The sequence below is a fragment of the Homo sapiens genome, chromosome 3 (genome assembly GCF_000001405.40).
Source record: "Homo sapiens chromosome 3, GRCh38.p14 Primary Assembly".
NCBI lineage: Eukaryota > Metazoa > Chordata > Mammalia > Primates > Hominidae > Homo > Homo sapiens.
Genome location: NC_000003.12, coordinates 28,197,920 through 28,213,527, shown reverse-complemented (window position 1 = coordinate 28,213,527; position 15,608 = coordinate 28,197,920). Strand labels below are relative to the sequence as shown.

The following is a 15,608-nucleotide window of genomic DNA, read 5'->3' as shown; positions in this document are numbered from 1 at the left end:
GTCAGTTTTGGGTCCAGGCCTTAAGAAATCGGAATTTCCATTTCCTTATTTTCTTCCAAAACATTTATTCTTAGAAACCAGTTGCCATGATGTGAGGAAGCTCAAGCAACCCTATGGAGAAACGGTTTCCCACAGGGAAAGATATCCAGATCCCTGTCTAACAGCTTCAATTGAGCACCCATCTGAAATAAGCATCAACCTGTCAACCATGTGAGTGAGCTGTCTTGGAAGTGGACCCTCCAGCCACAGCTGAGTCATTCAAGCTGATGAGTAGAGACAAGCTATTTCCAATGGGCCTTAACAAAATTGCAGATTTGTGAGCAAAACAAATAATTTTTGTTGTTTCAAGATACTAAATTTTGGAGGAGTTTGTTATACAACAATAGATAACCAGAAAACCATGACATATGAATTATAAATTTATCATTGAGTTGTTGGTTATCTTTCCACCTCTGAAAATTAAATACCTAGCCAGTCATGATAAAGAGTAAGGTAAAAAAAGTATGAAAGTATGAGAAATATATATGAAAAATCAAGGATGAGCAGAAAATAGGATCAGGAATGAGGCTAATATATAATGCATACCACAATTCTTAATTTGGAAAATTTTGTCAATTTCTAATAAAGTTAAACATACATCCGACCTATGAGTCAGCAATTTTACTCTTATGTATATACTCAAAGAATATCAAATAAAGACATATGTCCACCAAAACACTCTTAAAGAATGCTCATAGTAGCTTCATTCATAATGATTCCCAAATGGAAACAATGGAAATGTCATTAAACAATGAATGAAGCCAAACACATGAGTCTACATACTGTATGATTTCATTGATATTAAGTTCAAAAACATGCAAATTAAACTACGATAACAGGAGTTGTATGGCTGGTTACCTTTGGAGGAAAAGGAAATGACTAGGAAGGATCACTTTAAAAAATCTTCTATAGTGATAGGATCTTTTATATATTGACCTGGATAATAGTTACATGGATGTATACATATGTAAAATTAATTGTGCTATACACTAAAGGTTTGTGCATTTGACTGTGTCAATTATTTCACATTTAAAAATAAATAAACTGGTATTGTACTAGAAAATCCAGATATGGCTATACTCTACTATTTACTCAGGCACACACAGGCTTTATTAGTCCATTTTCATGCTGCTGATAAAAATATACCTGAGACTGAATAATTTATAAAGAAAAAGATATTTAATGGGCTCACAGTTCCACATGGCTGGGGAGGCCTCACAATCATGGCAGAAGGCCAAAGACATGTCTTATATGGTGGCAGGGAAGAAAGAATAAAAGCCAAGTGAAAAGGGAAACCCCTTATAAAACCATGCAATCTCGTAAGACTTATTTGCCATCATGAGAACAATATGGGGGAACCACCCTCATGATTCAATTATCTCCCACCAGGTCCCTCCTACAACATGTGGGAATTACGGGAGCTACAATTCAAGATGAGATTTGGTTGAGGACACAGCCAAACCATATCACAGGCATAGAGAAAATTCTCTTAGTGCTTCATTATTCTTAGGGTCAATCATCAGGAAGACCTAATAGGGTTTTTCCCTCTTCCTTTTCTCTGCATAATAGCTAAGAGGGAGCTACATTTTTGTACATGTGAATCCAATACAAATCCTGTGATTTGATCAGTGCTATTGTATTTCTTATTTTCTGTTAGAATACTCTTTCACTGTTTTATTGTTTGTTTGTTTGTTTGTTTAGAGACAGGGTCTTATTCTGTCACCCAGGCTGGAGTGCAGTGGTGCAATCATAGCTTACTTTAACCTCAAACTCCTGGGATCAAGCAATCTTCAGCTTGGCCTGCCCAAAGTGCTGAGATTACAGGTGTGAGTCACTGTGCTTGGCCATCTTTCACTTCTTATCATTTTCTTTGGAGGTTCTTGCCTTATATTTTCTCTTGGCATTTCAACTTTGACTTTTCTCCATTTTGGAATTTATCATTCTTCATTATGACTTTTACTTTATAATCTTGCAATGTCAGCATTTCCCAAATCAAGCTTCAAATCACAGTCTCACAATTTACAAACAATTAGAGCCATATTTAATTCTGGCACTCACTGGCATTACGTATTTTAACTCAATTTATAGCAGATTAGTTATTAAACTATAAAAAATAACATTGCTTTATGCATTAAATTATATTTTATTTTCAAATGCATAATCTGAGGTGTTGTTTCTTTGTCTTTGCCTTTTTTTGCTTGAGAATAATTCACTGCATACTGCATGTACCAAATTTAAACCTGACACCTAGATAGAAAACTGACAAACAGGAAATGATAAAAGGAAGAGGCTCTTCCTACCATGTTTGATACCATCAAAACAGACACTTTCTGTAAAACTCTTTTTCTTTTTCTGAGGGCAAAAAGGGGTGGGACAGTAACAATGTCAGTTTATACACTTACCCCTTAGTGACTATGTTAATTAAGGTGATTGCACAATTACTACAGTCTCTTCCAATACTTGCTTTATAATTTGGTCTATATCAAATTTTTTGATCCAGATTTTGTTCAGATTATTTAGCTCTTACACCCTTTGCCTGAAGATTTACAAAGCAATCATAATAAAAAGTAATGAGTCCCTTTTATTTATTTATTTATTTATTTATTTTTATTTTTTTGAGATGGAGTCTCACTCTATTGCCCAGGCTGGAGTGCAGTGGGGCAATCTCCACTCTCTGCAACCTCTGCCTCCCAGGTTCAAGCAATTCTCCTGCCTCAGCCTCTGAGTAAATGGAACTACAGGCACATGCCACCATGCCCAGTTAATTTTTGTATTTTTTTGGTGGATACAGGGTTTCACCATGTGCCAGGCTGGTCTTGAACTCCTGACCTCAAGTGATCTGCCTGCCTCAACCTCCCAAAGTGTTGGGTTTATAGGCATGAGCCACCACACCCAGCCATGAGTCCCTTTTAGAGCATTTTCCCTAACCGTTAGAAAAGAATCATTGCATTTTTCTATTTCCTTCACTCCTGATGGAGGAGGCCGATCAGTGAACACATGAACTGAGAAGATTGTTGTCTATTGATTTAATGCATAAACTTCAAGTCAGTCCCTTACATACAAATGCTTCCATCTTTTAAGCAAAAATGAGACCTGTAAATAGTCCATGGTTTAGATGTGAAATTTAGGATGTTTTATAACTAGCCATGTAGGCTACCCTGAATTAACTTTTTAAATTGGATTTTTAAAAATTATAAGAATAGTACATGCTCATAAAATTGAAACAGTACAGAAGCACTTAAAAAAAAAATCTTCTCCTGTCCTCTCTACCTATCATCTTAACTCTCTTCCCCTACAAAGTAATCACCAACACCAGTTTGTGGGAATCTTTCCATTTCCATGTATTTCCCACTTAAATACAACACATGTCAATGTAACAGATTTTTTTCTCCTTCTTTAGTCAAATGAAGTTGTATTACACAAATTGCTCTGAAACATACTTTGTTCACTTAAAAATAAAACGTGGACATCTCATTTTGTTACTGATATATAGTAACCTACCTCTTCAAATGTTCTGAAATAAAAATATTTGTGATTAATTTTAAAAATTATTTTTACTTGTCACAAATAAATATATTGTCTTAGTAGAAACTGAAACATGGGACTAAAGTCCTTTTTTAATCTCTGCTTTGAATTTCAGCCCCTCTCACTGTCTCTCCAGTTCACCGCTATAAACAACTCTCTAAATATTCTTCCAGACCTTATTCTTTGCACTTACATGTCATTATTACAAAATCATAACAATATATAGTATTGTATTGTTTTTATTTAACATAAATAGAATTCATATATATATATATATATATGAATTATATATATAATGTTCTACCATGTTCTACCATGTTCTACTTTACTTGGTAATTTGTCCTGGAGACCAGTACATGTTAATACACAAAAATATACCCCCATTTTAAAACCTGAGATTATAATAACTTTTGTTTAGCACTTCCCTTATTGATGATCATTTAGGTTGTTTCTGGTTGTTTTTTTTTTTTTTCATGTTTAAAAATAATTCTATATAACTTACTAACTTTTAACATAATTCTTTACACATAATAATTATATGAAAGAGATCAATTATATTAATACACTCAAGATAATACCTGCCTACAAAAATGTGTAGGTTATGGCTAGTACAACAGGCATTTTATTTAACTGCTATTTTAAAGTATAGTAAAATATAATAAACTTTGTCAATAATTTTGACAATATAAAAATGTTTCCTTTTGCATGGGAACAAGGAAAGTTAATGAGAAGTGGAATTACTGGGTCACAGAGGGTGTATATATATATATTTTTTGTTTCAATAAATACCGCTGAATTAGCTTCCAAAGTATCTGTACCAATTTCAGTTCTATCAGCAGTTCTCATTTCTTTAGAATATTGCTTTCTATATAGCAGTTCCCATTTCTTTAGAGTATTGCTAAGAATTGATATTGCCAAGTTTTAAAATGCAGAATGCTATTATCGTGATTGTAATTTGCAAATCCCTGTTTATTAGTGAGATTTAGCATCTTTTCTTGGTCATTTGTATTTTTACTTTTGTGAATGGTTTATTTATATCCTTTGCACATTTTTCTCTTGTGTGGTTTATCTTTTTCTATTGTTTTGTAGGTTTTCTTGTAAAATTTGGATACTAATTCATGTTCTAATCATATACGTTACAAATATTTTCTCCAAATCTTTCATGTCTCTTTGAACTTTGTTTATGGTATTTTGTGATACAGATTTATTTAAATTTTGATTTTGTCAAAATTTTTGGCAAGGTCATGGGTGTATTCTATATTTTCTTTACTAGAAGTTAAATAAAGCACCAGGGTTTCTAGCCATAATATATACAATTTTGTAGACAAACAATATTTTGTAATGTATTGATACAATTAACATGTTTTTGTATAATTACTATATACTAATATTGTGGTAAACGCAGCAAAGCTTGTATAGAGGGGCAAAGCATAGTGTTAACACCTAACATGAATGGTGACACTAAGGCAAGAATGCAAAGTAGCTATAATAAAAAAACACAGGCCTTAAAACAGGAATTGTGATGTAGTGGGAGCTTAAGAGAGAGATTTATTCTCTCTGCTGTTGTTGGTGGCAGTGGCATATTTGGGAGAAGTCAGGATTGCAGAGGGTCTTCATGAAGGCTTGGTGGTATTAAGATATGTCTTGATTTTATAGAAGATTAAAAGTGCTCACAAATTACTTGACATTGCTCCCACTGAATCTGGGCTGGCTTGTGGCTGCTTCAATAAAAGCATATGGGAGAAGTGACATATGTCCATTTCAGACCTGGCCTTTTCAAGAACTGGCATCTTCAGCTTTGGTCTCTGGAAAACTTGAGATGCCATATAGCAGTCTGACTATCTTGCTGGAGAATGAAAGAGAGGCCAAGGTGAACCCAGCCCTGCCACTGTCCCTGACAATTTACCAGGCACATCAATAAAGCCATCTTGGATAGTCTAGATCAGCCGAGCACCAGCTGAATACCACCTACCAATCCTATTTGATGCCTGAATCCCTGACCCAGAAAATTGTGAATTGTAGTAAACGAGTTTATGTTTTAAGTAATTAAGTCTGGGGATGATATTATGCAGCAATGTATAGTTAAAACAAAAGCCAATAAAGGAACATGATCGAAAAGAAAAAAGAAATGCTGCTGATGTGGTAGATTAATTCTCAAGACGACAGAGCTTAAATTGTGAATTCCTTGCAATGTTAATGTTTTATTCAATTTGCAATAACACAGCACCATTATTTCATATATATATATATATTTGTGCTATTCCCACACACTACTTCTAGAGTAAAAAACAAATTCTAACAGAAACATCCAGAAATAAACTGCAATATTCTGCCCTTGAAATAATTAGGTGTTTCTAGGTAGCTTCAATCTTAACACAGAGTAAGAGGTCATGTTTTGACTCAGCCTGGAACTGGGCTTGGGAGATTAGCTGTCACAATCTCCTTCTTTTACACTAGAGAAACCGCATCCAAGAGAGATTGATTTGGTGAAGGACTCATGAATGATTAGTGGCGAAATGTGGAATAGATTTGATTTTCTGACCCTTCTACTAGAGCCTTTTACTATGCTGCATTGCCAGACACACAGGAACAAAAAATTTGGTCTTAAAATTTTAGAACTCAGTCATTTTAACACTGTTACAATCTGATTTCCAGGAGCAAACAATCATTTTAAATACCAGTGTACATAGTAGCATGCTAGCAAATGTTTAACAACTGACTCTTTGAAAAACAAACAAAAGTCCTGATTTGTTGCATTTGCTGATTTCCATGGTGTAAATACTTTCACTTGTGACCACGTTCAAGCTACCATTACGATATCACCTAACACGAAGTTGGGAGTTACGAAGAGGTGCAAAATCAGCTTCAGAACTAGTGCGAGCCAGCTCCAGCACATCTCTGCATATGCTATTTTAAGAAAAGCCAATATGAACACATCTTTCATTAAAAGAGAAAAATTTGAAATGATTATTCAAAAAGACTGTTTACAAATGTGTCACTGTACTTCTTTGAAGAGCTGGAATTTTCTATGTGCATTAAAATATACTTGGAGAAGCAACATTTTGTTTCACTTATAAATAGTGAAACATTGCCAAAAACATTTATAACTATTGTAGAAAAGAAAATGATGCTTACCAAATATTCCCGGTGTCCCCTTAAATTTCCCAGACTACCTTGTAGTTAGGTTGGGCCAAGTTTCAAGTTCTGGCCAATGTCTTGTGAGTGGAAGGATTTGTGTCACCTCTGGACCAAGGCAGTCAAGAACTACGAGTTCTTTGTACTTTGCCTGACACAATAGCCTTGGAAGTCAGAGGTTGAAATGGTGGCATCACAGGGTGAAAGGACTCTGAATTCTTGAATCACAGACAGAGAACAACTCTGCTGACTCTCTTCAGCCTTTGTAAGCACAGGAAATAATTTTATCTGTGTATAAAACTGGTGAGACTTGGGGATTTTTTTTACTAAATAGCAGGGATTATCTTGACTAATAGAGTTATTAAAGCAGTTACAGAACTAACGTTCTTTTCAAAATTTTCATTTATTTGAATTGGTGGAAACAAGAAAAATACACAATTTAGAAACAGAAACATTGAAATGTGATCAAGGGAATCAAGGCAGGAGTTTCCAATTTCTCATTAACCAGCAATGTTTCTGACCATAAACTTCTGATGCCTATTTTTTTTTTTTTTTTTTTTTTGAGATGGAGTCTCACTCTGTCACCCAAGCTGGAGTGCAGTGGAGCAATCTCAGCTCACTGCAACCTCCATCTCCAGGGTTCAAGCGATTCTCGTGCCTCAGCCTCCCGAGTAGCTGCGACTATAGGTGTGCGCCACCATGCCCGCTAATTTTTGTATTTTTGGTAGAGACAGGGTTTCACTGTGTTGGCAAGGCTGGTCTCAAATTCCTGACCTCAGGTGATCCACCTGCCTCGGCCTTCCGAAGTGCTATGATTACAGGCATGAGCCACTGTGCCCATCCTCTGGTACCTTTTAAATATAGGAATAACGCTTTATAGACAAGGTGCCTTTTAACAAAATTTTACTTTAAGTTTTGGGATACACATACAGAACATGCAGGTTGGTTACATAGTTATACGTGTGCTACTCTGATCTTAGTTATGTCTTGTCTTCTATTAGCGTTTGGATTAGTTTGCTCTTGTTTCTCTAGCTCTTTTAATTGTGATGTTAGGGTGTCCAGTTGAGATCTTTCTTAACTTTCTGATATGGGTATTCAGTGCCATCAGTTTCCCTCTTAACACTGCTTTAGCTGTGTCCCAGAGATTCTGGTACATTGTCTCTTTGTTCTCATCAATTTCATAGAACTTCTTGATTTCTGCCTTAATTTCATTATTTACCCAGGAGTAGGAGTCATTCAGGAGCAGGTTGTTCAATTTCCATGTAATTGTCTGTTTTTTAGTGAGTTTCTTAATCCTGAGTTCTAATTTGATTGCACTGTGGTCTGAGAGATTGTTTATGATTTCCATTCTTCTGCATTTGCTGAGGAGTGTTTTACTTCCAGTTATGTGGTTGATTTTAGAATAAATGCCACGTGGCACTGAGAAAAATGTATATTCTGTTGCTTTGGGGTGAAGAGTTCTGTAGATGTCTGTTAGGTCCACTTAATCCAGAGCTGAGTTCAAGTCCTGAATATCCTTGTTAATTTTCTATCTCATTGATCTGTATAATATTGACAGTGGGGTGTTAAAGTCTCCCACTATTATTGTGTGGGAGCCTAAGTCTCTTTGTATGTCCCTAAGAACTTGGTTTATGAATCTGGGTGCTCCTGTATTGGGTGCATATATATTTAGACTAGTTAGCTCTTCTTGTTGAATGGATCCTTTTACCATTATGTAATGCCCTTCTTAGTCTTTTTTGATCTTTGTTGGCTTAAAATGTTTTGTCAGAGACTAGGATTGCAACCCCTCCTTTTTTTGTATTTCCATTTGCTTGGTAAATTGTCCTCTATCTCTTTATTTTGAGCCTATGTGTGTCTTTGCACATGAGATGGGTCTCCTGAATACAGCACACCAATGGGTCTTGACTCTTTATTCAATTTGCCAGTCTGTGTCTTTTAATTGTGGCATTTAGCCCATGTACATTTAAGGTAACTATTGTTATGCGTGAATTTGATCCTGTCATCATGGTGCTATCTGGTTATTTTGCCCATTAGTTGATGCAGTTTCTTCATAGTGTCATTGGTCTTTATATTTTGGTGTGTTTTTGCAGTGGCTGCTACTGGTTTTTCATTTTTTATATTTAGTGCTTTCTTCAGGAGCTTTTGGAAGGCAGGCCTGGTGGTGACAAAATTCCTTAGCATTTGCTTGTCTGGAAAGGATTTTATTTCTCCTTTGCTTATGAAGCTTAGTTTGGCTGAATATGAAATTCTGGATTGAAAATTCTTTTCCTTAGGAATGTTGAATATTGGCTCCCAATCTCTTCTGGTATGTAGGGTTTCTGCTGAGAGACCCACTGTTAGTCTGATGGGCTTTGCTTTGTAGGTGACCTGGCCTTTCTCTCTGGCTGCCCTTAACATTTTTTCCTTCATTTCGACCTTGGAGAATCTGATGATTATGTGTCTTGGGGTTGATCTTCTCATGGAGTCTCTTAGTGGTGTTCTCTGTATTTTCTGAATTTGCATGTTGGCCTGTCTTGCTAGGTTGGGGAAGTTCTCCTGGATAATATACTGAAGTGTGTTTTCCAGCTTGTAACCATTCTCCTTGTCTCCTTCAGGTACTCCAATCAATTGTAGGTTTGGTCTTTTTACATAGTCCCGTATTTCTTGCAGGCTTTGTTCATTCTTTTTCATTTTTTTTTTTCTAATCTTGTCTGCATGCCTTATTTTGGCAAGGTGGTCTTCAAACTCTGCTATCCTTTCTTCTGCTTGTTCAGTTCAGCTATTGATACTTGTGTATGCTTCACAAAATTCTTGTGCTGTGTTTTTCAGCTCCAAGAAGTCATTTATGTTCCTCTCTAAAGTGGTTATTCCAGTTAGCAGCTCCTCTTACATTTTATCAAAGTTCTTAGCTTGTTTTCATTGGGATAGAACATGCTCTTTTAGTTCAGTGGAGTTTTTAATTACCCATCTTCTGAAGCCTGCTTCTGTCAATTCATCCATCTCATCCTCCATCCAGTTCTGTGCCCTTGCTGGCCAGGTACTGAGATCTTTTGGAGGTGAAGAGTCTTTTGGGTTTTCAGCAGTTTTTCATTGATTCTCATCTTCATGAGTTTGTCAGTTTCGATCTTTAGGACTGATGACTCTTGGATGGGTTTTTTGTGGGGACGTTTTTGTTGTTGATGATGCTGTTGTTATTGCTTTCTGTTTGTTTGTTTTCCTTTCAATGGTCAGGTCCCTCTTCTGTAGGGCTGCCAAAATTTGCAGGGGGTTCACTTCAGGCCCTATTCGTCTGATTTGCTCCCACACCTGGAGATGTCACTCGAGGCTGGAGAAGAGCAAAGATGGGTGCCTTCCCCTTCTTCTGGAATCTCTGACCTTGAGAGGCACCAATCTGATGCCAGTAGGATTGTTCCTGTATAGGGTGTCTGACAACTCCTGTTGGAGGGTCTCACCCGGTCAGGTGGCATAGGGAACAGGACCTATTTAACGAAGCACTTTGACTGTCCCTTGGTGGAGGGAGTGTGTTTCTCTGGAGGGAACCCACTTGTCTGGGCTGCCTGGATTCCTCAGAACTACGAGGAGGAAAGGCTAAGTCTGCTGGTCCACAGAGACTGCAGCTGCCCCTCCCACTAGGGGCTCAGGCCCAGGGAGATAAGGGTTCTGTCCCTGAGCCTCTGGCTGGAGTTGTTAGATTTCTTGCAGGGAGGTCCATTCCAGTGTGGAAGGATGGGTCAGGGTCAGTCCTAAAGAGGCATTCTGGCCACAGTCTGCCACAGCTGGTATGTTGGGCTGTGGGGGACACCTCTTGGGACCAAGTTGTCCAGCCTCACTGGCTCCAACAGAGGAAAAGTGTGGCCTGGAGCTATAGAGATGCATGCTGCCTTTCCCCAGTGCAGGGAGCTTATCATGTTAGGTAGTTATGAGTCCCAGTGCTGGCTGCTGTCCCTTCCCCAAGAAGCTGAAATGGCTTAGAGAGCAGGAAGCCACAGATGTGGTACTGGTTGCCCCCTCCCCGCTGTGAACTCAGCAGGCTTAAGCATATTCTAGTTTAGAGGCTGTTGAGAATCTGCATGGCTCCAGAGTTGGGACCCTAGGCCCCAATGGCATGGGTTTGCAAGTGGGATCTTCTGATCCAGGGGTTACACAGTTCTATATAAAAAGCACAGTTTCCCTGGCTGGGTAGCATGCTCACTCACCACCTCCCTTAGCTGGGGGGTAAGGGCTCCCCTGACCTGTGTGGCTCTCAGGTGGGCTGCCACACCACACTGCTCTTTTTTCCTCTCTGTGGATCACAGCAGCTGCCTAATCATTCCTGTTGGGAGAACCTGGATACCTTGGTTGACAGTGCGGGATTCACACAGTATTATGGTTCTTTTCAATGGGAGCCTCTGATGGTCAGAGGCTGCTTCTAGTCAGCCATCTTGGCCCTGCCCTCCTAGGGTACCCTTGGTATATAGCATTGATTCTCGTTTGGAGGGCTAACCAGTTAGTTATAACAATAATCTTTACATGCCTTAGAGCTATCAAATCATTTTCAGATCCTATATTAATTACTTTGCTTATTTAATTATTCATTAAACAACACTTTATTGACTGCTTGTGATATTACTGTGTGAGATGCCTGGAATATAATGATGAGAAAAAAACATAATAGACTCTACCCTCATGGAAATTGTGGTCTGGTAGGTTACAAAGATATTAATTAAATAATCAAACAGTATTGTTGAGTATCATGAAGGGAAAGTATGGAATGCTTTGAAAATGTAACAGGGGCATTTCTTGGTGAGTTTATGTGATAAAGGTAGTGTCCTTGAGGAAGAGATATTTAGTCTTATTAGTCTAAAAGACTAGTAAGAGGGAAAATGAAGAGGGGAGATGGGTGAAATAGAGTGTTTTTGTTTCTATTGCTGCTGTAACAAATTATCACAAACGTAGTGGCATAAATGAATACAAATTTATTATCTTACAGTTATGGAGTTTAGATTCTAAAATGGATCAGCAGGGCTGCATTCTTTCTGGGGGCTCTAGGAGAGAATCTGTTTCCTTGTTTTTTCAGCTTCTAGAGACTGCTCACATCCCAGGGCTAAAGTCTCTCTTCTAGTGATGGCAACACTCTGACCACTACTTCTGTGATCATATCTTCTTTACTGACTCTAATTCTCCTGCCTCCCTCTCATAAGGACTCTGGTGGTTACATTGGCCCCACCTGAATAATCCAAGATAAACTTCCCATTTCAGGATGCTTAATCATATTTTAAAGTCCCTTTGTCACATGAAGTAACATAGTCACAGATTTTGAAGATTAGGACATGGACTTCTTTGCAGGCTATTATTATGTCTACTACAGAGTGGCAGGCAGAGGGGAAAGCATTGATCAAAATCCTGAAATTGAGGGAGCTTCTCTCACTGGAGAAACAGAATGAGGCCACTGTGACTGAAGCGTTAGAGCAAAGGAGCATTTATGGCAGATTGGCAGGACAGAAAGGCCAGGCTAAGTCTTACAGAAATCTGCAGGCTATTAATAAGATTTAGGTCTATAATTATCCTAGAGGTGCTTGGACACATCTCTATCAAGAAAAGCTTACCTAGGCTGAGGTGGGCAGATCACAAGGTCAGGAGATCAAGACCATCCTGGCCAACATGGTGAAACCCGGTCTCTACTGAAATACAAAAAAAATTAGCTGGGCGTGGTGGTGTGTGCTTGTAGTCCCAGCTACTCGGGAGGCTGAGGCAGGGGAATCGCTTGAACCCGGGAGGTGGAGGTTGCAGTGAGCCGAGATTGCACCGCTGCACTCCAGCCTGGTGACAGAGCAAGACTTGGTCTCCAAAAAGAAAAAAAAAAAAAGAAAAGAAAAGCTTACCTAAACAAACTGAGAGTTGACAGCGTGCTGGCAGTCCTCACAGCCCTCGCTTGCTCTTGGCGCCTCCTCTGCCTGGGCTCCCACTTTGGCGGCACTTGAGAAGCCCTTCAGCCCACCGCTGCACTGTGGGAGCCCGTTTCTGGGCTGGCCAAGGCCGGAGCCGGCTCCCTCAGCTTGCAGGGAGGTGTGGAGGGAGAGGCGTGAGCGGGAACTGGGGCTGCGCGCTGGCGCTTGCGGGCCAGCTGGAGTTCCGGGTGGGCGTGGGCTTGGCGGGTCCCGCACTCGGAGCCGCCAGCCGGCCCTGCCGGCCCCGGACAATAAGGGGCTTAGCACCCGGGCCAGCGGCTGCGGACGGTGTACTGGGTCCCCCAGCAGTACCAGCCCACCGGCGCTGCGCTCGACTTCTCGCCGGGCCTTAGCTGCCTTCCCGCCGGGCAGGGCTCGGGACCTGCAGCCCGCCATGCCTGAGCCTCCTACCCCCTCCGTGGGCTCCTGTGCGGCGGAGCGTCCCCGATGAGCGCCGCCCCCTGCTCCACGGCGCCCAGTCCCATCGACCACCCAAGGGCTGAGGAATGCGGGCGCACGGCGCAGGACTGGCAGGCAGCTCCACCTGCACGCCCCGGTGGGGGATCCACTGAGTGAAGCCAGCTGGGCTCCTGAGTCTGGTGGGGACGTGGAGAACCTTTATGTCTGGCTCAGGGATTGTAAATACACCAATCAGCACCCTGTGTCTAGCTTAGGGTTTGTGAATGCACCAATGGACACTCTGTATCTAGCTACTCTGGTGGGGCCTTGGAGAACCTTTATATCTAGCTCGGGGATTGTAAATACACCAATCGGCACTCTGTATCTAGCTCAAGATTTGTAAACACACCAATCAGCACCCTGTGTCTAGCTCAGGGTTTGTGAATGCACCAATCCACACTGTATCTAGCCAATCTAGTGGGGATGTGGAGAACCTTTGTGTGTACACTCTGTATCTAGCTAATCTGGTGGGGACGTGGAGAACCTTTGTGTCTAGCTCCGGGATTGTAAAGGCACCAATCAGCGCTCTGTCAAAACAGACCACTCCGCTCTACCAATCAGCAGGACGTGGGTGGGGCCAGATAAGAGAATAAAAGCAGGCCGCCCCAGCCAGCAGTGGCAACCCTCTCCGGTCCCCTTCCACGCTGTGGACGATTTGTTCTTTTGCTCTTTGCAATAAGTCTTGCTACTGCTCACTCTTTGGGTCCACACTGCCTTTATGAGCTGTAACACTCACCCCTAAGGTCTGCAGCTTCACTCCTGAAGCCAGCGAGAAGAACGAGCCCAGCGGGAGGAACGAACAACTCCAGTATGCGCCGCCCTAAGAGCTGTAACACTCACCGCGAAGGTCTACAGCTTCACTCCTGAGCCAGCGAGACCACAAACCTACCAGAAGGGGAACACATCTGAACATCAGAAGGAACAAACTCGGACACGCCACCTTTAAGAACTGTAACACTCACCGCGAGGGCCCGTGGCTTCATTCTTGAAGTCAGTGAGACCAAGAACCCACCAATTCCAGACACAAAACTTTCAAGGTTAGTTCTAGCCCTGAGGTGCTATGAAATTCAAAATCCCAATTAAAATCAGTAGTAATTCAATTTTGTAAAATGGAGATAATAATAGTACCTGTTGATGTGAAGAAAAAATTGATTCATTTAAAACAGTGTCTGGCACGTATGAAGCACTACATAAATATTGGTATTACCTAACTATGCAAACTGAAATTTCAGGTGTTAAGAAAAGAGAAGGAACTACATTATAGTTGTCCAACTCTATGAGATTTTAAGTGTAGGTTGAGTGAGGTGGAGTGGGTGAAGAATGAGGAAGCAGCGCAATTTAAAGTAAAAATAAAATGGCAGGCTAGAGAGTGCAAAAAGAAAAAAAAATGGCTAACTAAATTGTATTCCCTGGTGAATCCAGTTCAAACGGACAAGGCAGAATGAGTGCATAATAGAATAAATGAAACACACTTTGAAAATCTCTGGGAATTCTGAGATGTCTTAGGCTACTCTTGATGGAGCTGAAAATTGTAGCGAAGAGAACTCTGGACCCATGTTGTATTATCAAAGGACGGGGAACCACTTTATTCGAGCTAAACACTTAGTGCTATCACACTGATGTGACAAAGACTGACACTCAAGCACAGATATGGGGCCATTTTAGTCAAGATAAATAATCCATTGTGTTATAGTCTGGATTGAAATTTGTTAAGGCAGAAAGGCATTGTTTGAAGTTAGCCTGGAATGACAATTTTTCTTACAGGAAGGACTGTACTACTAACTAGTAGGTAGGGCTTAGTTAAAAATCATTTGAGTTTACACTGTCTTGGGTGGGGTTTCCCCAGATACAGGCACCGAGACAAGGGTCTGAGTGTAGGTAGCTTATTTGGGAGGTGATCCCGGGAAGCACTAGCGCTATCAGCAGATGAAGTCAGACAGAGAAGGGAAAGCAGCAAGTGAAATGTGTGCTAATGAGCAGATTGCTGCCATGGACAACTGGAGCCCAGGTCTACTGGAGACCTCTAAGAGATGGTACAGAAACTTCCTTAGGTATTTATATCCAGTACCCATCTGTCATTGGCTGAGGGCCGCTTGGAAGAGATGAGGTCAACACCTGTGGACTAAACTTGCTCTTCCAGTTAGTGAAGGCCCTCATGTTGTGCGTGAGGTAGGAGCTGTGGCATGTATAGGATGGAGAGTGCCAAGAGAACATGGGCATTTGCTATATGCATCTCAAACTTAACATCCTTGGCATCTACTATATATACTGACATGTATATATTATGACTTACATGTCATGGTCAATTATCTCTTGCTTATCCAATGATATCACTCTAATAATTTTCTCCTCTCTTCTGCAGCTTCAAATTTTTTTCTTTGAACTGAATTTTTCTTTGCATCAGTACCAAAACATGCTCTTCTGTTTTCCCCATCATTTCATTTATCCTTCTAGTTGATGCCTGATTTCCCTCTTTCCCTTCATAGCAAACTCATTGAAAAAATAGTCAACATCTATCATTATTTTTATATGGTTTTAGTCAAT

The 15,608-nt window shown here is 40.2% G+C and overlaps 1 annotated feature.

Moving 5' to 3' along the window:
* Positions 13,295-14,494: an enhancer, noted in NCBI's record as "BRD4-independent group 4 enhancer chr3:28240525-28241724 (GRCh37/hg19 assembly coordinates)". NCBI's record gives its function as "activates an origin of replication core promoter dependent on BRD2, P300/CBP, MED14 and CDK7 cofactors, and independent of BRD4, by STARR-seq in HCT116 cells {active_cell/tissue: HCT116}" and the evidence as "EXISTENCE:reporter gene assay evidence [ECO:0000049][PMID:35650434]".